This window comes from Homo sapiens, chromosome 15 (genome assembly GCF_000001405.40).
Source record: "Homo sapiens chromosome 15, GRCh38.p14 Primary Assembly".
NCBI classification, from domain to species: domain Eukaryota; kingdom Metazoa; phylum Chordata; class Mammalia; order Primates; family Hominidae; genus Homo; species Homo sapiens.
This window is the reverse complement of record NC_000015.10, coordinates 28,309,249-28,332,227: the sequence shown is the minus strand read 5'-3', so window position 1 is coordinate 28,332,227 and position 22,979 is coordinate 28,309,249. Positions and strand designations below refer to the sequence as shown.

At 45.7% G+C, this 22,979-nt stretch overlaps 1 protein-coding gene and 1 pseudogene across 7 annotated transcripts in view, besides 1 other annotated feature; one reads left to right on the top strand and one right to left on the bottom strand.

Annotated features, from left to right (window-relative positions):
* Nucleotides 10,049–22,979, top strand: part of HERC2 (HECT and RLD domain containing E3 ubiquitin protein ligase 2) — a 211,140-nt gene continuing 198,209 nt past the window's right edge. For 5 of the 7 annotated variants that reach the window (XM_006720727.4, XM_006720726.4, NM_004667.6 and 2 more), the window contains exons 1-2: nt 10,049–10,153; nt 10,764–10,866. In XM_006720727.4, coding sequence (XP_006720790.1) covers nt 10,795–10,866 — 72 coding nt within the window. In that variant the 5' untranslated portion in view covers nt 10,049–10,153; nt 10,764–10,794. Of the gene's footprint in view, nt 10,154–10,763; nt 10,867–14,378; nt 14,699–19,353; nt 19,482–22,979 lie in introns of those variants that run through there. The other 2 variants (XM_005268276.6, XM_017022695.1) reach the window with 2 other exon arrangements.
* Nucleotides 12,947–13,597: an enhancer, noted in NCBI's record as "OCT4-NANOG hESC enhancer chr15:28563777-28564427 (GRCh37/hg19 assembly coordinates)". NCBI's record gives its function as "activates a minimal SCP1, AML or CMV promoter by ChIP-STARR-seq in naive and primed H9 embryonic stem cells {active_cell/tissue: H9 hESC(naive and primed)}" and the evidence as "EXISTENCE:reporter gene assay evidence [ECO:0000049][PMID:30033119]".
* Nucleotides 16,149–16,575, bottom strand: RPL41P2 (ribosomal protein L41 pseudogene 2; annotated as a pseudogene).

The following is a 22,979-nucleotide window of genomic DNA, read 5'->3' as shown; positions in this document are numbered from 1 at the left end:
AAGAGGAAACGCAACAATCGGAAATGAATCTCCAAATGCAGCTCTTGGTCTGTCGCACAGGAGTCACCAGCTTGTGTGATGGAGCTGCCTTATATTATTACCTATCATCCCTCTAACTGCCCAGTGGAAAAGCATTCATGGGTGTCTAGCTCACACACTATCAGCTTCCAATTCTCCCACCCATTTCACTAGCCCCATCTCACTTGGCCATACCTAAAAGAGTAAAAACATTTTAAAAAATCTTTTCACTCTCAAAATGATTAATGCACATTAATGGATGGCAGTGAGGCTCTCCATCCACTTGAAGTGGTATAATAGCAACTCTAACTAGACAATGAATTGTTAGACACATATAACACACACAATACCTTTCATAGTGAGAGAACAAGTAATCGGCAAAAATCTAGGAGAACTGTAGAACACCTTCAATAAACTGGATCTAATTTATAGAACACTTCACCCAACAACAGCAAAATACATATACTTTTTTTTTTTTTTTTGAGACAGAGTCTCGCTCTGTCGCCCAGGCTAGAGTGCAGTGGCGGGATCTCAGCCCACTGCAAGCTCTGCCTCCTGGGTTCACACCATTCTCCTACCTCAGCCTCCTGAGTAGCTGGGACTACAGGTGCTCACCACCACGCCTGGCTAATTATTATTATTTTTTTAATTTTTATTTTTAGTAGAGATGGGGTTTCACCATGTCAGCCAGGATGGTCTTGATCTCCTGACCTCGTGATCCACCTGCCTTGGCCTCCCAAAGTGCTGGGATTACAGGCGTGAGCCACCGTGCCCGGCCATACATACACTTTACATATACTTTTTTTAAATTTTATTTTTTTTGAGATGGAGTCTAGCTCTGTCGCCCAGGCTGGAGTGCAGTCGCACGATCTCAGTTCACTGCAAGCTCTGCTTCCCAGGCTCAAGCCAGTCTCCTGCCTCAGCCTCCCAAGTAGCTGGGACTACAGGCGCCCGCCATCATGCCCGGGTAATTTTTTTTGTATTTTTAGTAGAGACGGAGTTTCACCCTGTTAGCCAGGATGGTCTCGATCTCCTGACCTTGTGATCTGCCTGCCTTGGCCTCCCAAAGTGCTGGACCATACATATACTTTTTAAGCACATACAGACCATACATATACTTTTTACACATATATGTATACATATATGTATATACAGACCATACATATACAGACCATACATATACTTTTTAAGCACATACAGAATGTTCACTGAGAACATAACCTGACACATAAATCTTAACAAATTTAAAAGAAATGAAATCATATGCAGTTTGTTCTCCAATCACAATGGTATTAAACTAGAAATCATTAACAAAACAATCTGCAAACACTTCAAAATAAAACAACATACTTAATAATCCATGGGTCAGGCCGGGCGCACTGGCTCACGCGTGTAATCCCAACACTGTGGGAGGCCAAGTTGGGGGGATCACCTGAGGCCAGGAGTTGAAGATCAGCCTGGCCAACATGGAGAAACCCCATCTCTACTGAAAATACAAAACAATTAGCCGGGCATGGTGGCGGGTGCCCGTAGTCCCAGCTAATCAGGAGGCTGAGGCAGGAGAATCGCTTGAACCCAGGAGACAGAGGTTGCAGTGAGCCGAGATCATGTCATTGCACTCCAGCCTGGGCAACAACAGTGAAACTCCGTATTGAAGAAAAATAATAATAATAATCATCATCATCATCATCCATGGGTCAAAGAACAATTCTCAAAAGAAATTAGAAAATATTTTGAACATAAATGAAAATGCACCAAAATTTGTGGGTTTAATTAAAGCACTGCTTAGAGGAAAATTTATAGCATCAAATCATTATATATTACAAAAAAGATAGGTCTAAATCAGCAATCTAAGTTTCCACCTTAAGAAACCAGAAAAAGAGCAAAGTGAACGCAAAACAAGCCAAAGGAACAAATGCCAAGATAAAAGCAGAAACTAATGAGATTGAAAGCAAAAAAAGAAGGGAAAAATTAATGAAACTTAAAGATCATTCTTTGAAAAGATCAACAAAATTGAAAAACTCTAGGAAAACTGACAAAGAAAAAAACAGAAAAGATACAAATTATCAGTATCAGGAATGAATGAAGGGACATCACTGCAGGCCCCACAGACTTCAGACGGTTAGCAAGAGAACACTAAGGAAAACTTGACACTTAAAAATCAGACAACTTAGATGAAATAAAGCAATGTCCGAGTGCCACAAACCAGGAAAATCCTCCTAGAAACAAACAGGTTACCTGAATAGTTCTGTATCTGTTAAATAAATTGAATTTGTAAAAATTTTTTTTTTTTTTTTGAGCCGGAGTCTCACTCTGTCACCCAGGCTGGAGTGCATTGGTGCAATCTCAGCTCTCTGCAATCTCTGCCTCCCAGATTCAAGTGATTCTCCTGCCTTAGCCTCCTGAGTAGCTGGGATTACAGGCGCACGCCACCAAGCTCGACTAATTTTTTGTATTTTTAGTAGAAACGGGGTTTCACCATGTTAGCCAGGCTGGTCTCAAACTCCTGACCTCAGGTGATCCACCTGCCTCAGCCTCCCAACGTGCTGGGATTATAGGCACGAGCCACCGTGCCCGGCGTAAAATCTTTTAGAAAGAAATCTCCAGGTTCAGATGGATTCAAAAACATTTAAAGAAGAAATAACACTAATTCTACACAATCCCTTAGAGAAAATGGAAAAGGAGGGAACACATGCCAATACTTTGTATAAGGTCAGCTTTCCCCTGACAGAAAGCCAGACGAGATAGTATAATACAAAGAAAGAAAACTGCAAACCAACATCCCTGATGAGCATCAACAGAAAAATCCTCAAAAACGTGTTAGCAAGTCAAATTTAGCAATATAGAAACAGAATAGGGCCGGGCGCAGTGGCTCACGCCTGTAATCATAGGAATATTGGGATGCCAAGGAGGGTGGATCACTTGAGGTCAGGAGTTGGAGACCAGGCTGGCCAACATGGTGAAACCCCATCTCTACTAAAAACAAACAACAAACAAACAAAATTAGCCAGGTGTGGTGGTGCACACCTCTAATCCCAGCTACTCAGGAAGCTGAGGCAGGAGAATTGCTTGAACCCAGGAGGCAGAGGTTGCAGAGAGCTGAGATTGCACCAATGCACTCCAGCCTGGGTGACAGAGTGAGATTCTGTCTCAAAAAAAAAAAAAAAAAAAAGAAAGAGAGTAGTAAATCGTGGCCAAGTGATGCCTATCCCAGTAACACAAGGCTTGGTCAGTATTTAAAAATCAGGCTGGTATAGTGTCTCACACCTGTAATCCCAGCACTTTGGGAGCTCACTGCAACCTCAAACTCTTAAGCTCAAGCAATCCTCCTGCCTCAGCCTCCTGAGTAGCTGAGACTACAGGTGCACACCAGCATGCCACGCTAATTTTTAATTTTTTTGTAGAGATGGGATCTCTCTGTGTTGCCCAAGCTGGTCTCTAACTCCTGGGCTCAAGTGACCCTCTCGCCTATGCCTCCCGAAGTGCTGGTGTGAGCTGTTGCACCCAGCCAAAATACGGCAGATTTGTAGTACCCCAGAAGGCTCCTTCCTGACCTACACTTTCCCACAAAGGAAACTACCCTTCTGACTTCAATCATCGTCAGTTCTGCCTTCCTGCGCTTCATCTAGGTGGGCTGGTACTGTGCACTGTCTCTCATACCTGGCTCCCTCTATTCACCCATGTCGTTGAGTGTTCCTACCACTTCATTTTTCTTTTTTGGCTGTGTAGTATTCCATGATGTGACTGTATCACCATTTATTCACTCTCCTGTTGATGGACATTTAGGTTGTTTTCATTTGGGGCTCTTATGAATAAAAATGGCAGTGAACATTCTTATATAAGTCTTTTTGTGGACATATGCACTCGTTTCTCTTGTGTACATGCTTAGGATGGAATTTCTGAAGGTAGGCATAGATATAGCTTTAGTAGAAGCTGCCAAACAGGTTTCCAATGTGCTTATACAATTTTATGCTACTGCCAGCTTGACAGTTCTTGTAGCTCTACATCTTTACCAATACTCTGTATAACACAGCATTTAACTTTAAATAGAGATAAAACGATGGTAAGATCCAAAGAAGTGTGCATGTTCCTGAAGAACATCCCGTAAAGGGCCTATTTTATTCATCTGTTTCGGGCACTGAAAACCACTGCATGGCTGGATGAGGAAGGAGGCCTGGTACAACTCCCAAGAAGGCATGTGTCCCTCGGGTGGGCTTTGTTTCCCAGAAACTCTGGGGAAGGGGTGGAGAGGCACCTTCTGGGCCAGCTGGTCTCCTCTGGCTTTTCTTGTACCCTAGGGCTCCCTCCAAAGAGACAGAGAACAGCCTGGCCGGGGAGCAGTATCTCCTACTGCGCTTGCTGTGAGCCAGCCACTCTGCCTTCTTTCAGGAATTACAAAATCCACAGGTCCCCGGCATTCTTATTTATGTATTTATTCATTTATGAGGCATGGTTTTCCTCAGCTCTGTTGGATGGGTCTCTGTGAAGGGAGCTTGGTGGGGGCGAGTGGCCGCTCCCTGGAGGAGGCAGGCCCCTGGTCAGGATCTTTGGGGCTCCAGGTCTCATAAGTGGGGGGCCAGGCTCCCTAGAGAAACCCTTCTTGGCTAGGGCTGGGGAGCCCACCAGAGTGACCCAATCAGTTCTCAGGGCCTGTGATGGGGCCAAGTGGTTTTGAGAAGCCAGTGTTCAGCTCCATCCTAAAGAGCACTCATGCACGTTGAGGAGGAGGGCCGGGGTGCACAGCTCTGACCTGAGTCAGACCCACCTCAGGACTTAGCCCAGCAGGAGGCCCAGAGTCACTGACCATAAAACGAGCAGATGCCTCCCCCGTGCTGATGGAGATGAGTCTTGGGCATCAACTCTAATAATTTCTAACTGCACCCAGAAATACTGATTCACACAGCAACTAGTGAATAATAGCCTTTTAGAGCTAAAAAAGCCTCATATATTATAAATTAACATATGCATTTTACACAAACTAGAGGCACCGTGGTGGGCCAGCAGCAGCCTGTTCAGGGGCCACAACAAGGGAGATTGGATTTCCTTAAGTGCAATGGGAGTTACTGGCAAGGCTTTAAGGTTTTAGCCACAGGAAAGATGAAAGTATTTTAGAGCAATGTGGGTGGATTCAAAGTGAGGTTTTGAACTAGATCAGTTTTTTTTTTTTTTTTTTTTAGACAGAGTCTGACTCTTATTGCCCAGGCTGGAGTGCAGTGGTGCTATCTTGGCTCACTGCAACCTCTGCCACCCAGGTTCAAGCAATTCTCCTGCCTCAGCCTCCTGAATAGCTGGGATTACAGGCACCTGCCACCAAGCCCGGCAAATTTTTGTATTTTTAGTAGAGACGGGGTTTCACCATCTTGGCCAGGCAGTTCTTGAACTCCTGACCTCGTGATCCACCTGCCTTGGCATCCCAAAGTATTAATTTTTTTTTTTTTTTTTGAGACGAAGTCTTGCTGTGTCGCCCAGGCTGGAGTGCAGTGGCCCGATGTCGGCTCACTGCAAGCTCCGCCTCCCAGGTTCACGCCAGTCTCCTGACTCAGCCTCCCGAGTAGCTGGGACTACAGGCGCCCGCCACGATGCCCAGCTAATTTTTTGTATTTTTTTTTAGTAGAGATGGGGTTTCACCGTGTTAGCCAGGGTGGTCTCAATCTCCTGACTTCCTGATCTGTCCGCCTTGGCCTCCCAAAGTGCTGGGATTACAGGGGTAAGCCACCACGCCCCTCCAAGTATTAAATTTTTTATTTAAAAAATCTCCCCTCTCCAAAGATCTCCCAGCATTTCTGCAGAGGTCTCTACCTAGGTAAGGAGAAGAAACTATTCTTGGCCGGGTACAGTGGCTCACGCCTGTAATACCAGCACTTTGGAAAGCCAAGGTTGGAGGATTCCTTGATCCCAGAAGTTCGAGACCAGCCTGGCCAACATGGTGAAACCCCATCTTTACCAAAAATACAAAAATTAGGTGGGTGTGGTGGAGTGTGCCTGTAGTCCCAGCTACTCAGGAGGCTGAGGTAGAAGGATCGCTTGGGCCTGGGAGGTCAAGGCTGCAGTGAACCAAGGTGGTGCCACTGCACTCCAGCCTGGGTAACAGAGTGAGATCCTGTCTCAAAAAAAAAAAATTATTTGTGAGGGTGAAATTTAAATACCTTTGTGCATAGCTATCAGTTATTCTTTGTTTTAATATTTAGTTTATTGTGAAATATAACACATATAGAAACATACATAAAACAACACACAGGGCCAGGCCCGGTGGGTCACGCCTTGTAATCCCAGCACTTTGGGAGGCCGAGGCGGGCGGATTACTTGAGGTGAGGAGTTTGAGACCAGCCTGGCCAACATGGTGAAACCCCATCTCTACTAAAAATACAAAAATTAGTCGGATGTGGTGGTGCATGCCTGTAATCCCAGCTACTTGGGAGGCTGAGGCAGGAGAATCGCTTGAACCTGGGAGGCAGAAGTTACAGTGAACCAAGATCGCGCTACTGCACTCCAGCCTGGGCAACGGAGTCAGACTGTGTCTAAAAAAAAAGAAAAAAAATATAGGCTGGGTGTGGTGGCTCACGCCTGTAATCCCAGCACTTTGGGAGGCCGAGGCGGGCAGATCCCTTGAGGTCAGGAGTTCGAGACCAGCCTGACCAACATGGAGAAACCCCATCCCTACTAAAAGTACAAAATTAGCCGGGCATGGTGTTGCATGACTGAAATCCCAGCTACTTTGGAGGCTGAGGCAGGAGAATCGCTTGAATCTGGGAGGTAGAGGTTGTTTTGAGCTGAGATCACGCCATTGTACTCCAGCCTGGGCAACAAGAGCGAAACTCCGTCTCAAACAAACAAAAAACAAAACAAAAACAAAAAACACAGTGTAACATGTTATTATAAAGTCACTGCTCAGGGACCAACTTGGCCGCTCCTGTGCCTCTAGAGGGAAGCTCCTTCCCACTGTTCTTTAGAGTTTTATATGTTAAGTACAGGAGTCAACAAACTAGGCCTATGCACCACATCTGGCACCCAGCCTTTATTTATTTTTTGAGATGGCGTCTCACTCTGTCACCCTGGCTGCAGTGTGGTAGCACAATCTCGGCTCACTGCAAACTCCACCTCCCAGATTCAAGCAATTCTCCTGCCTCAGCCTCCTGAGTAGCTGGGATTACAGGTGTGTGCCACCACACCCGGCTAATTTTTATATTTTTGGTAGAGACGGGGTTTCACCATGTTGGTCAGTCTGGTCTCGAACTCCTGACGTCAGGTGATCCGCCTGCCTTGCCCTCTCAAAGTGCTGGGATTACAGGCATGAGGCATGATGCCTGACCCAGCCTTTTTTAAAATGAAGGTTTCGGCTGGCGCGGTGGCTCATGTCTGTAGTCCCAGCATTTTGGGAGGCCAAGGCAGGTGGATCACCTGAGGTCAGTAGTTGGAGACCACCCTGGCCAACATGGTGAAACCCCGTCTGTACCAAAATACAAAAATTAGCTGGGCGTGATGGCAGGCACATGTAATGCCAGCTACTCGGGAGCCTGAGGCACGACAATCACTTGAACCCGGGAGGCGGAGGTTGCAGTGAGCCAAGATCACACGATTGCACTCCAGCCTGGGCAACGAGCGAAACTCCATCTCAAAATACAATAATAAAAAAAAGGATGTCCTTTTTTGTCTCTCAACCCCGTTTTTTATTTTTTTTTATTTTCAGACAGGGTCTCGCTCTGTTGCCCAGGGTGGAGTGCAGGGGCCCGATCTTAGCTCACTGCGGCCTCAACTTCCCCAGCTCACATGATCCTCCCACCTCAGCCTCCCAAATAGCTGGGACCACAGGTGGGTACCACCATGCCCGCCTAATTTTTGTATTTTTTGTAGAGATGGGATTATGCCATGTTGCTCAGGCTGATCTCGAACTTCTGGGCTCAAGTGTCTCTCTGCCTCCACCTCCCAAAGTGCTGGGATTGCAGGCCTGAGCTACCATGCCCAGCCCTGCTTTAATTTAAAGTGTATTACATTTGATATTAGTACAGCCCCTTCAGCTCTTTTTTGGTTACTATTTTAATTGTATCTTTGTATCCCTTTACTTTCAATCTGTTTCTGTATTTAAAATGTTTATCTTGTAGATAGCACATTGGTGGATCATATTTTGTTCTTCAATCCTTTCAGCCAGTCTGCTTTTCTTTCTTTCTTTTTGAGACAGAGTTTTCCTTTTGTCACCCAGGCTGGAGCGCTATGGTGCGATCTCAGCTCACTGCAACCTCTGCCTCCTGGGTTCAAGCGATTCTCCAGCCTCAGCCTCCTGAGTAGCTGGGATTACAGGTGCGTGCCACCAGGCCTGACTAATTTTTGTATTTTTAGTAGAGACAGGGGTTTCTTCATGTCGGTCAGGCTGGTCTTGAACTCCTCACCTCAGGTGATCCACCGCCTCAGCCTCCCAAAGTGCAGGCATTACACGCGTAAACCACTGCGCCCGGCCAAAGTGGTGGATTTTTTTTCTCAGAAAATCTATTCCATTCTTTTTCCAGAAACCAAATTTGTACAAGTTAACTAAAATAAATATTTATACTCTAATTTTTTTGTTCTGAGGTCTGAGTTTTTAGAATTTTATCTTTACATGTTTAGAAAAATTAGAAAATATAGATAGAACATAACCAAGAAAATAATAACAACTTTCCTTCTGTTCAAAGTTCATTACTATTAGCCGAGTGCAGTGACTCACACCTGTAATCCTAGCACTTTGGGAGACTGAGGCGGGCGGATCACTTGAGCCCAGGAGTTCGAGACCAGCCTGGGCAACATGGCAAAATCCCGTCTACAAAAACTACAAAAATTAGCCAGGTGTGGTTCCATGTGCCTGCAGTCCCAGCTAGTGGCAAGGCTGAGGTGGAGAACCACCTGAACCCGGTAAGTCAAGGCTGCAGTGGTGCAGCCTCTGTCCCCCAGGCTGGAGTGCAGTGGTGCAATGTCGGCTCACTGCAACCTCCGCCTCCCGGGTTCAAGCGATTCTCCTGCCTCGGCCTCCCGAGTAGCTGGGATTACAGTCACGTGCCACCACACCTGGCTAATCTTTGTATTTTCAGTAGAGAAGGGGTCTCATCATGTTGGCCAGGCTGGTTTTGAACTCCTGACCTCAGATGATCCACCTGCTCTGGCCTCCCAAAGTGCTGGGATTACAGGCCTGAGCCACCACGCCCGGCCGTTATTTTTCTTTCTTAGAGGCAGGATCTCACTCTGTCGCCCAGGCTGGAGTGCAGTGGCACGATCTAAGCTCACTGTAGCATTGATCTCCCAGGCTCAGGCGATTCTCCTGTCTCAGCCTCCCGAGCAGCTGGGATCACAGGTGTGTGCCACCACACCTGGCTAATTGTTAAATTTTTTTATTTTTATTTTTTAGAGATGGGGTCTTGCTATGTTGCCCAGTCTGGCAACATGGGATCCTCCAACTCCTGGCTTCGAGGGATCCTCCCGCTTCGGCCTCCCAAAGCGCTGAGAATTACATACGTGAGCCACCACGCCCGGCCTATATTGTTTTATAGTTCTTCAATTTTGTTTTGTGGTCGCTGGAGGTGTTTCCTTCTTCGATTCCCTGCACAGTGCTTCCACAGCTGCTCCATGGAATCTGCCCAAGACTTTTGCTGCGTTCAGTTGAACACACAGGAGGAAGCTCTTCAGGCCCCAGCCAGCCGACCGCACAAAGATGCGTTCTCATACCCAGGGGAGCTGGTCTCGCCACTCGACCCGCGCCCTGGATAGCTATAGTTAGTGTGAGCGCCACCACCCGCCGCGGCGTGATCAAGAGCGCTCCGAGCCAAGCAGTCTCCCGTGGGAGTGCGGGAGTGCGTGCGTGTGGCGGAAATCCCGCCTTCCGGCGCCCGCTGTTGGCCTTGGCCGCAGCCAGGGCGCTCCAAGTAGGAAGATAAGCGGGATTGCTGGAAGCGGGAGAGTCGGGAGGAGCGGCGAAGGGCTCCTCTTCCCCATTGGCTGCGCCCACGGAGCAGCCTCGTTGCGATTGGCCGTACGCGGGGGGCGGCAGTCCCGCGTCGGCCCGCCCCTCGGGCCGCGAGAGGCGCCGGGATCGCGGGCGCCGGCTGAGCCAGCGGCTCTTGGGAGGCTGCGTCCGCGCGCCGGCGAGGCGAGGCGGCCGGGCCCTGCGCGTCAGGTCCTGGCCTGGGGCACCTGGGCGGCCGGTGGCGGGGGCGGTACGGGCGCGGGGCTGGCGGGCGGCCGAGCCCGGGAGGCGGGCGTGGGCGCGGCGGCCGCACCGGGGCCTGCGCGGACCACCCGCGGGGCAGCCTCGGGCCTCTCTCCATCTCTTAAGTGGTGGTGGCTGTGGGTTTTTCTGCAGGCGATCCTTTTGAGTAATTTTTTGTTTCACGCACGCGCCCTGCTGTGGGGTAAAGCGGCAGATTCATGCTGCTGTCATTTGTCGTTAAAACGATGGGCTCCCTGTTATGTGTGTGTACTTCTTGGATTTGAGGGCAGGGGGATGACATTGTGACTTGGCTTCCTGTGACCGTCCATTCTCAAGGTCTCGTCAGCGTGGTGCAGAAACTCGGCACACCCTGCTTACCTTGGAAGGAGGCTTTCCCTTCCCCACCTCCCTCTCCCTCCATCTCTTCCCTCTTTCCCTCTCTCCCCTTCTCTCCCCTCCACCAGCTCTTCTCTCCCCCCTTTCTGTTCTCTCTCTCTTTTTTCTTTTCTGGCTTTCGGGAGTGTCTTTGTAAACTATTAAAAAGCGTTAGGTCTTCAGCGTATGTGTTTACTTGCAGGCCTGAGACCTGGGAGGAAGCTGGAGAAAAGATGCCCTCTGAATCTTTCTGTTTGGCTGCCCAGGCTCGCCTCGACTCCAAATGGTTGAAAACAGATATACAGGTGGGGTTTGACATGTCTTTTTCTTGGTGTGTTTCTGCTTCCATGTTTAAATTTCTCGTGTAAGGCTTTTTTTTAGGGTATGTAAGGGGAAGTCAGTTGTATCTTGCTGAATTAGAGGAGCAGGTTTATTTCCTGTAACTTAAAATGTAACAGTCTTTATGGCTGTTTTTGTAGATCGTGCGCGGCTGCCTTTTAATTAGTTTCTTGCAAGTGCACGAAACTTGAGATCTATTAATAGGCAAAATTTTTTTCCTATTTATTATTACTGGTTAAGAAATCTGCCACACTCCTAACCATATCATGGTGACTGTTGTTTGTTACTGATCGTTTTTGAGCTGTTGAGTTAACTGTGGAGGGGAAAATTGGAGAAGTAAGTTGCAGTAATTATGGCCTATAGAAACTCACTCATTTTATGAGGTCTTGTGTTTGTGTTTCTGGAGAGACAAGAGTTAGTTCAGTTGAGCTGTTTGTTTTGTCTTTGTAACTCCTTATTAAGAGGAGTGCTCAGATTTTCACATCAAGAATGTGAGGAAACAATGTTGGCCTTAGATCCTAATTTTTTGATTTAATGAGATAACTGCAAGCTTGTCAGGACATTATTAAATAAATAATAACTAATATTTCGATAGACAATTATTTACACCCAATCTACTTTTATTTGGAAATGGCTTGGAAAAACTACTTTTGGAACTCCTTATCAGCAGCAAAAAGAAGTGTTTGAAATATTTTGTGTGTGTCTGTATTTTCCTACTCCCTAAGGTTAACCATTTTAAGTATTAAGTAATGTGCCTTGACTGTTCATCAAAAGTCGTGTAGGCTGTTAAGCAGTAGTTGATCATGGATACTTACACTGAAGTGTTATTGCCCCTTCCTAATTTTTTTTTTCTTTTTAAACAGGTATTGAGTGTTGGTAGATATGAGAGTCCAGTGTTTAGAGCTGTGTTGCGTGGCCGGGCGCAGTGGCTCACGCCTGTAATCCCGGCAGTTTGGGAGGCCGAGGCGGGTGGATGCCCTGAGGTCAGGAGTTGGAGACCAGCCTGACCAACATGGTGAAACCCCGTCTCTACTAAAAATACAAAATTAGCCAGGCGTGGTGGTGTATGCCTGTAATCCCAGCCACTCGGGAGGCTGAGGCAGGAGAATCGCTTGAACCCGGGAGGTGGAGGTTGCAATGGGTCAAGATCATGCCATTGCACTCCAGCCTGGACAATGAGAGCAAAACTGTTTCAAAAAAAAAAAAGCTGTTGTGGATGATGGGATTGTTATTCATAGTGTAATGTTACATAAGACAGAGTACAGAGAATTGGGTCAAGAATTGGTGTAGTTACTCTTTGGGTTTGTTTCTCTTTAAACATTTCCTTTGATTTAGCTATAATGATCTGTTTTGTCATTTTAAGTGGATGGGAGAGGTGAGAGATGAGTACTTTCATATTTCTGAAATCCTGAGATTCAGGCAAAGTTTTAATAATTGTTTTATATTAGTGTTTATGTATTTTGAGAAACTTTTTGGAGTAAAGGACTTTACGTAATAAAGTGTTTTTCTTAATAATTGTAATTTAATAACTGCTAAACATGAGTTCTAGTGTCTTGATCTAAAACCAGTTTAATGCTGAATTGAGTTCCTATGATGGGTTGGGCAGATAAACATACAGTGAAGCACCATTTATATCTTAGAGGGCCTGTTGTTTTGATTTATTAAGTTTAATACACAGTACTTGGTCCTTGTTACACATTTCCAATATGATTAGAAAGTCTTTTTTTTTTTTTTTTTTTTTTTGAGACGCAGTCTTGCTCTGTCGCCCAGGCTGGCGTGCAGTGGCGCAATCTTGGCTCACTGCAACTTCCGCCTCCCGAATGCAAGTGATTCTCCCGCCTCAGCCTTCCGAGTAGCTGGGATTACAAGTGTGTGCCACCATGCATGCCCGACTAATTTTTGTATTTTTAGTAGAGATGGGGTTTCACTGTGTTGGCCTGGCTGGTCTCCTGACCTCAAAGCGATCTGCCTGCCTCGGCCTCCCAAATTGCTGGGATTACAGGCGTGAGCCACTGCACCTGGCCAAAAAAAAAGTCATCTAAATTCCTCCTAGGAGTAAGGGAAATGACTAGGTTTTGGATAGTGTGCACCAGAGGAAAAATGTGTTACAGGTCTAAGTAGCATGAAAAAAGTGATTGCTAAGCTTTGTTTTATGTTCCACCAGCATTGGTTGTTAAACACAAGGAATGAATGGTGGTGTTTTACCGTAAGGAATAAGACATGGTTTCCCTCTTTGGGGAGCTTCCCTGCAGACAGGAATTGCAGATGGAAGCCTTGTGCTCACAGGTTTTACCCTTATCTTGTTGAGGATGGCTCTCCCAGCTGGAGTGGGAAGCGCTTCACTGCTTGAGACTTTTGTATTGGAAACAGAATTGACACCTGGGTAATGAATAATACATGGGATAGGAAGATGTTTCTTAGCCATAGGATTTAACCGATCTGTTTTCCACAGCTGTTTTTGTTTGAAATGCCCTTAAAAGTTTTAGTAACTTTAGAAAGGAAGAGTTTTTGGAGTGTGAAAACTTATAATGCTTGTGTGTTATAGAGAGCACTTATTGACTTCTTTATCATAGACATTATTTGGATACGTCAGGCCTAGGGCCCTACATCCAGCAACCTCTAATGCAGGGCTCATTTTATGCCAGGCATATATATGTGGTTATTACATATAAACAGTTTAATTGTACAATACTTTTTTTTTTTTTGAGATGGAGTCTGACTCTGTCTCCCAGGCTGGAGTGCAGTGGTGCCATCTTGGCTCACTGCAAGCCTCCTGGGTTCATGCCATTCTCCTGCCTCAGCCTCCCGAGTAGCTGGGACTACGGGTGTCCACCACCACGCCTGGCTAATTTTGTGTACTTTTAGTAGAGACAGGGCTCCACCATGTGGGCCAGGTTGGTTTTGAACTCCTGACCTCAAGTGATCCACCCGTCTCGGCCTCCGGAAGTGCTGGGATTATAGGCGTGAGCCACCGCGCCCGGCCTGTTCAACACTTTTCTGCTTGGTGTGTGGAGTGATTGAATCACCATGTTTTCCTTCACTGCTCTCGTAAAGAGTAATACGTTACAGAGCTAAGAGGTGTCAGTCACATCACTTTTTATTTTTACAGTGAAAGTACTTGTAATCTGATGTGATTGGTAGTTTTTTAGCAAACCAAAACGTCAGTTAAGCAAAGGAACTATAAAAAACAATATATGATACCTTAAAAGCTTTTTATTCTTAAAACACATGCCTGTTCGCCAGTTTTGTTGTAAGGTAAAGGCGCATGTCTTTGAGCATAAGTCCAGAATGGAGTTATCCTGCCCCTTCTTGCATAAGCTGCACTCAGATGAATTTCCTACAGTTTCTATTTTTGTGTTCTTTTTTAAGTGGCACATGAAATTAGATAGGCATGAAGCAATTTTTTAAAAAACTTTTTATTTTGAAATAATAATAGACTCTCAGGAAGTTGTAAAGAAACTAGAGAGGTCACTGTATATTTGCGCATACTGCCCCAGTGGTTACATTTTATGTAATTATAATAGAGTATAAAAACCCAGAAATTGAAGTTGGTACAATGTGTGTGCGTAGTTCTGTGCCATTCTATCAAGGGTCTGTAAATGTAACTACTACTACAATTTCCTATGCAGAACTGTTTCATCACTACAAAGATGTCTCTCCTGCCTCTCTTCTGCCACCATCTCTAACTCCTGACAACCACTAATCTGTTCTCCATCTCTATAATTTTGTTACTGTGAGATTACCAAGTGATATGTGACCTTCGGAAATGATTTTCTTTACTCAGCATAATGCCCTCAGGTCCGTCAAGGTTTGTTGAGTATATCAGTAGCTAAACTGGGACCATTTATTTGTCTCTTCCTCTAATCATCAATTAAGAATGACTACGCATAAATGTAAGCTCTTAGAGTTAAGCTTATTGTATATAAATATTGTCACTTCGGCTGGGCGCGGTGGCTCACGCCTGTAATCACAGCACTTTGGGAGGCCGAGGAGGGCGGATCACTTGAGGTCAGGAGTTCAAAACCAGCCTGGCGCCCATGGTGAAACCCTGTCTCTACTAAAAATACAAAAGAGTCAGGCGTGGTAGTGTGCGCTTGTAATCCCAGCTACTTGGGAGGTTGAGGCAGGAGAAGTGCTTGAACCCAGGAGGTGGAGGTTGCAGTGAGCCGAGATCATGCCATTGCACTCCAGCCTGGCCAACACAGCAAGACTCCATCTCAAAAAAAAAAATTGTCACTTCATGCTTAGAAATATCAGTAGATGGCTACATGGCTGGGTGTGGTGGCTCAGCCTGTAATCCTAGCAGTTTGGGAGGCTGAGGTCAGGAGATCGAGGTCATCCTGGCCAACATGGTGAAACCCCATCTCTACTAAAAATACAAAAATTAGCTGGGTGTGGTGGCACGTGCCTGTAGTCCCAGCTACTCAGGAGGCTGAGGCAGGAGAATCGCTTGAACCCAGGAGGCGGAGGTTGTAGTGAGCCGAGATCGCGCCACTGCACTACAGCCTGGTGAGAGAGCGAGAATCCGTCTCAAAAAAAATAAAAACGATCAGTAGATAAAAAAAGTATAAACATGAGTATCTTGATAAATTCTGTTCTCAGGCTTTCAGGTTCATAATCCAGTTGATAGATGACATGTAGAAATAAAAGAATTTGTAAACATGGGAGTCTTCATTGACGTTTTTAGGACTGGATTCTAAGGGTGGTTTTTACCTCTAATATCCAAATACTGGTGCCTCAATAGAACAATTTTTGTTTTCAAAATTCCATGATAAAAAAGATGTAGTAACCCTGTATGTGACATTTTGTCAGGTTAATTGAGAGCATTTTGCAGCAAAAAAATTTTTTTTTGTAGAGGCAGGGTCTTTCTTTGTTGTCCGGGCTGGTCTAGAACACCTGCATTCAAGTGATCCTCCTGCCTTGGCCTCCCAAAGTGCTGTGATTACATGTATGAGCCACTGTGCCTGGCCTGGTGTTTTAAAGAACTAACTTTTAACTTTGGTTCTTGGAAAAGACTAGTAATACTAGTTATTAAAAAAAAAGGAAAAGGGTTTAGCCGTAGGACTTTGATGACAATTCCTTTTTTTTTTTTTTTTTTTTTTTTTGAGACAGAGTCTCACTCTGTTGCCCAGGTTGGAGTACAGTAGCAGTATCTCAGCTCACTGCAACCTCCACCTCCCAGGTTCAAGCCATTCTCATGCCTCAGCCTCCTAAGTGGCTGGAATTCCAAGTGTGCACCACCACACCCAGATAATTTTTTTTTTTTTTAAACAGCGGAAGAGGTGATTTATTATATGGTTGTTACACTCGGCCACAAATAAACACAGAAATAGTCCAGAATGTCACAGGTCCAGGGCAGAGGTCCAACATGGGCATTTTGTTTATGAGCAAGGTGGGTCTCAGAGGTGATCGGCGATCAGAGGGCGATGAAGTTCTAGATCCATTGAGACAAGCTCTAGACAGTGGCATGCAGTCCCACAACTTGTACCAGCATCCCCAGCGTCTGGCATTCCATGTTTCTGCTCCTGTGGCCTCCACAGTGCAACAAGCTAGCGGTTTACTTGGACCTCTGCCTCATCTTTCTTCTTTTGCGCTTCAGCCTGCGCATTCGCTTCTTCCTCCACTTGGCTCTCATGGCGCAGAGGTTTCCAAGAAAATGGCGCTAACGCCGAGAGCCAGATAATTTTTTATATTTTTAGTAGAGATGGGGTTTCACCATGTTGCCCAGGCTGGTCTTGAACTCCTGAGCTCGTGATCCACCTGCCTTGGCCTCCCAAAGTGCTGGGAGTACAAGCATGAACCGTGCCCGGCTGTTAATAGGATCTTTTAATTGCTTGACCCTATTAAAGGTAGTTATTTTAAAAGTGTGTTTATAAACCTTGTCCGACCCCATAGATTCCTTAGCCGCCTCTCTCTGTCCCTCTTGGTTGACTCATGCCTGTGAGCCGCCCTTCGGCTCCAGTCTCCGCTGTGATGTCACGCAAGAGAGTTGGAGTATGGCTTCCTGACTGCCTACCAAGGAGCCAGTGACACAGCCTGGAAGGTGTGGCGAGTGTGGGTGTGAATTCCCTGTGGTATGAACGTTCACCACTTTACAAGGAGAGATGAGGGAACTCAGTGTTTTTATTCCTCCCCTTTTTCTTTCCTCCTTGGACTATTTTATGGTGTAGTTTCTTCTTGCAGACCTTCTGGAAAAGCCACATGTGCCTAGTGAATGTGCTGGCTGAACAATTGGTTGTATTTGCAGCTCATTGAGAAGAGGTGGCAGTAACATAGGAGTCAGCACATTTTTTCTATAAAGCACCAGATAGTAAATGTTTATGTGGGCCGTACGTGCTCTTTTATAACAACTCACCTTGGCTATTGTCCTGCGAGAAGCTGCCAGATGTGTATGGCTATATTCCAGGAAAATTTGAATGTCAGATAATTTTCATGTGTTGACATATGATTTTTTTTTTTTTTTTCCTGAGAGGGAGTCTTGCTCTGTTGCCCAGGCTGGAGTGCAGTGGCGCGATCTTGGCTCACTGCAACCTCCACCTCCTGGGTTTAAGCAATTCTCCTGCCTCAGACTCCGGAGTAGCTGGGATTACAGGCGTGTACCATCATTCCTGGCTAATTTTTTTTTTTGTATTTTTAGTAGAGACGGGGTTTCATCATGTTGGCCAGGCTGGTCTTGAACTCCTGACCTCATGATCCGCCCGCCTTGGCCTCCCAAAGTCTGAGATGACAGGTGTGAGCCACCGTGCTTGGCTGACATATGATTCTTTTGATTATGTTGCAACCATTGAAAAATATAAAATCACTTTTTAAATATATGTTTTTCTTTTTTTAGGAAATTAAAGGAAATAAGAATGGCTCCTACATAGGCAGAGTAGGCTAAAATCACACTTAGCTGACTGTGAAGTCATATACTGCATACCGTTGCTTCATTGATCTCCTTGTCTCACTTTCCCACTTCCCTCACCCCATTGTTCCGAGCTGACATCTGCTGAGCAGAGTGTTAACACTTTAGTTCATTCCTCAGGCTCTTCTTTCATGATAGAAGTCTTTATATTTCTGTTTTCAGGATCTACTCTTGGTCTGTTCTGTTGACTTCTATTTTTTTTTTCATTTTTCAATGATGTGGTCTTGTATCTTTGTCATTATTATATTTGCTTGACTTTCAGATATTGTATATGCAATATTGTAGCAATAAGTCGAGGCTCTGGGTAACAATAACTTCCCCCAGAGAGGATGTTCTAGGCAATCCCAGGTCACTGCAGTCCCTTTGGAAATTGAGAGAATGCGAAACTGGGCTGGTTTTCCGTAAAGGCTGGTCTACTTCTAACTCACCTGTATTTCTGGTGTGTGGCCCTTTGAGGTTCCAGCTCAGAGCATGGGGTCTGCCAGGCCTCTTTCTCCTGTGTGAGGGCCCTGGGAGTCTCTCAGAAGCTCCGTTTTGCTTCTCAGTCTCATCCCTGCTTGCTTAGGTTCTCTGGGCCTCTTTCTTCCTCTCGTGGGTCTCAGACTTTAGGAAGACCTCACTATCTTACTGCTTCTAGGATGTCTTCAAATCGACGTACTTAATGTTCCTGTCTGACCTTTCTAATTGTTCTAGGAACCTGTTCTTAACATTTTTTATATGTTGTCCTACGTTCAATAGATGTTTAGTATTTTTCTGTAGGTTTAAGAAAAAAAGCCATATACCTTTACTCATCTGCAAATATTTGAAGATTACTTTTCTGTCAAATTGTAAGGACATGAAAAAGAAACATTTTCTAACCTATACATTAATCAGATATTCATTTGTTATATTATTCAGTTTTGGATTTTATTGCCTGACTCTATAGTTCTGAAGTCACTTTAATAAATGCCTTAACGGGCTGGGTGCGGTGGCTCCCGCCTGTAATCCCAGGCCGAGGCGGGTGGATCACAAGGTCAGGAGGTCGAGACCATCCAGGCTAACACGGTGAAACCCCGTCTCTACTAAAAATACACAAAAAATTAGCCGGGCGTGGTGGCGTGCGCCTGTAGTCCCAGCTACTCGGGAGGCTGAGGCAGGAGAATGGCATGAACCCGGGGAGCCAAGATGGCGCCACTGCACTCCAGCCTGGGCGACAGAGCAAGACTCTGTCTCAAAAAAAAAAAAAAAAAAATGCCTTAACTGTTTGCTTGCCTAGTCCTGATTGGTATTAAAATATTGGTGGCCTATGTATGGGAGCGTGAAGGCTTGCCCTGGCTGCCGTGCTGCAGGTGTGGGTGCATGTTATGGTGTTGGTGGGAAGCGAATAAGCCTTGGAGTTGGGCCTCTTCCCAAATCCCACCTCTCACAGCCTCAGTGTTGTGTGGCCTTTGGTCAAGTCATTGGCCTTCTGAGCTTCAGTTTAGTAACTAACAAAAAGTGAGCCTGTTACTGCCTCTTTTGCTGGGGTCTTTTGACGATGAAAGTGCCTTTACTTGCCATGTCACTTCAGAGGTGTAAGATAGGAATGTGAGATTGGAAAAGATTGGAAAAGAGTTCTCAGCCCAAATAACCTAATTAGAAGCTTCTGGGATCTGAACCAAAAAAGTCAAAAGTTGAAAATCTACTGGGCACGTTTAGGTAAGTCAGCTACTAATAAAAAGCTAATTGGAGACAGTTGTAGAAATAAATACTCTCACTTTACAAATGGAAAGTCCCATTCATTTTTTTCTTTTTCTTTATTTTATTTTATTTTTTTTATGAATAGGGTCTCTGTCACCCAGGTTGGAATGCTGTGGTGTGATCAGAGCTTACTGTAACCTCAAACTCCTGGGTGCAGGTGACCGTCCTGCTGTAGCCTCCTGAGTAGCTGGGATTACAGGCACGTGCCATGCACTTGGGTAATTTTTACATTTCTGTAGAGACACGGTCTTACCATGTTGCCCAGGCTGATCTTGAACTCTTGGCCTCAAGCAGTTCTTCTGTCTTGGCCTCCCAAAGCTCTGGGATTACGGCGTGGGCCACCACGCCCTGCCTGTAGTCTCCATTCTTCTCAGTGCCACGGCTGTCTTCCAGTTGTTCCCAGGCTGCTGCTTCCTCAGTCAGGATCCTGTACTGTCTGTGATCTGGAGAGCTCTTCTCCTGGGCTTCACTTTTGCTTGTTCACAGTCTAACTCTCTGGAGACCTCCTCCAGTGAGGCTTGCTTTATTGCCTTAGTAATGTTCCACCTTTAAGGTGCCCAAATAGTTTTTTGAATGGTGCTTACCATTTATTTGGGTCATCAGTTCCTAGGAGGCTTCCACAGTGCATGTCCTTCCAGGAGTCCAGTGTCTACCTTCCAAAAAAGAATTCCTTGTCACTCAGAAAGACAAGGTCTGGCCTATCCTCTTCCTTCCCAGTGCTACCCAGGTAATAATCGAAAGGTGGTGGTAATTATTCTTGTTTCCATGTAAACTGGGCTTCCTCCTTGGCTTAGTCTTTAAATGTTCCATCTTTTGGCTTTTTTTTTTAAAAATGGTACCTCTGTAACACTAATGTTTCTCAATCTAGGCTGTACCGCAGAACACTGATGTGTGGAGCCCAGCCAGTCTGGGGCGATCTTAGAGTGCTTTCAGGTCTGGGCAGGGGTCTCCCCTCTCTGCTTGGGTGTTGGCATCTTCTCCAGGACATCACCTACAGTCCATTTGTTGACTACTCCCAGATTTGAGTCTCTAGCCCTGAACACTCTGCTAAGATCTGGATCTATATTTACTGAGGGTTGGTGGAGTGGGGAGGAGCTCCATGTTTATGTTCAGTAGTTAGTGCAAATCTTAGTGGTTAAAACGGAACTAATTCTCATTCCTCTTCTGTTCCCTCCCTTATTTTCCCTTTCACATTTGATTTAACTTACGTGATTTGAAATAGTTTCTTTTTTTGTTTTTTAAGTCAGGGTCTCACTCTGTTGCCCAGGCTGGAATGCAGTGGCACCGTCACGGCTCACTGCAGCCTTAACCTCCCCGGGCTCAGGTGATCCTCCCACCTCAGCCCCCTGAGTAGTGGGACTACAGGTGCGTACCACCACGCCTGGTTAATTTTTGTATTTTTTGTAGAGACCGAGTTTCACCGTGTTGCTTTGGCTGGTCTCGAACTCCTGGGCTCAAGCAGTCTGCCCACCTCGGCCTCCCAGACTGCTGGGATTACAAATGTGAGCCACCGTGCCCTGCCTGAAATAATCTTAAAGACTGTACTTCCCTGTCTTGACTTCTACTGTCATCCTTTCTTTTTTGGACCCTTGGTAATAGCCTTTTTTTTTTTTTTTTTTTTTTTTTTTGAGATGCAGTCCCACTCTGTCACCCAGGCTGGAGTGCTGTGGTGCGATCTCCACTCACTGCAACGTCCGCCTCCCAGGTTCAAACAATTCCCTTGCCTCAGCCTCCCGAGTAGCTGGGACTATAGGTGCGTGCCACCTCACCTGGCTAATTTTTTGTATTTTTAGTAGAGATGGGGTTTCGCTGTGTTAGCCGGGATGGTCTTTATCTCCTGACTTCATGATCCACCCGCTTCGGCCTCCCAAAGTGCTGGGATTACAGGCGTCAGCCACCGTGCGTGGCCAGTAATAGCTTCTTAGTTCACCTTCTCTGTTTCTGTTTTCTGAAACACTTTAAGACACGGGTCAAATGTCGTATTCCCTTGAGTGCCTAAAGATAGTCTGAAACTCCTGGAGCACGGCCCACATGGAGCTGTGAGTTCTGACCGCTGTTAGCCTCTTATCATGTGCATTGTGGTAGGGTTTGGACTGAACCCCAGTGCACGTATTCACTGCCCTCCTCTGACTGAAGACTAGAAGAGTCAAACCTTTCCATTCACTAGTTAAACTTCAGGGGCCCTGAATGTTTTCGGCTCACTTTTTAATTTTATTTTTTATATTATTTTAATTTTTTAAATTTAAATTAAAATTTTTTTTTGATAGGGTCTTGCTCTATTGCCCAGGCTGGAGTACAGTGGAGTGATCTCAACTCACTGCAGCCTCTACCTCCTGGTCTCAAGCAGTTCTCCCACCTCAGCCTCCCAAGTAGCTGGGAGTACAGGCGCGCCACCACCTCTGGCTAATTTTTTGTATTTTTGGTAGAAATGTGGTTTTGCCATGTTGTTCAGGCTGGTCTTGTACTCCTGAGCTCAAACAATTCACCTGCCTTGGCCTCCCAAGTGCTGGGATTACAGGTGTGAGCCACCATGCTCAGCTTTCTGGCTAATTTTACAATTTTTTTGTAGAGACGGTCTTGCTATGTTGCCTAGATTGGTTTTAAACTCCTGGGCACAAGTGATTCTCTTGCCTCAGTCTTCCAAGGTGCTGGGATTAGAGATGTGAGTCACTCTACCTGGCTAGGGCTCACTTTTTGGAAGGAGTTTACCTCTCCCCCACCAGCTGATAATTTTTACCAAAAGTCGTATGTTTTGGTTCCAAGTATGTTTATGGCAGTTATCCTGTTAGTGATGTGAACAGAAAAAATAAGAGTGCTGAGAGAAAGCTGTTCCTTCTACAAAAACTGAAGGATGCTGGCTTGGTTTCTGTCGCTACAGAACAAGTTACCAAACACAAATTTGGCAGCTTGTAACAACAAGCATTTACACTCTCACAGTTTCTGTGGGTCAGGAGTCTGGCCATAGCTTAGTTCTATCCTCTACTTCAGGTGTCACAGGCTGTAGTCAAGGTGTTGGCTAGGGCACGCTGTCATCTGGAGCTCAGGTCCTCATTGGTAGAATTGAATCCATTGTGGTTGTGGGACTGAAACCCTGGGCTCTTGGAGGCTGCCCCTCCCCACAGGCAGTTCATTGGCTGCTTGCTTCTTCAAATTGAAGACCATCCCTTCAGGACGGTGCGGGGGGATGGAAAAAGGGAGAGGTAAATGGAAATCACAAAAGAGCATAGTGGTTATATCAGACCAAATAGATTTCAAGACCAAAACTATAAAAGGAGACCAAAAAAGTCATTATGTAATGATAAAGGGGCCAATTCAGCAAGAGGCTATAACTATTATAAATATATGTATATATGCACTCAACACTAGAGCACCCAGATACATAAAACAAATATTACAGCTAAAGAGAGAGATAGGCCTTAACACATTAATAGATGGAGGCTTCAACACTCCACTTTC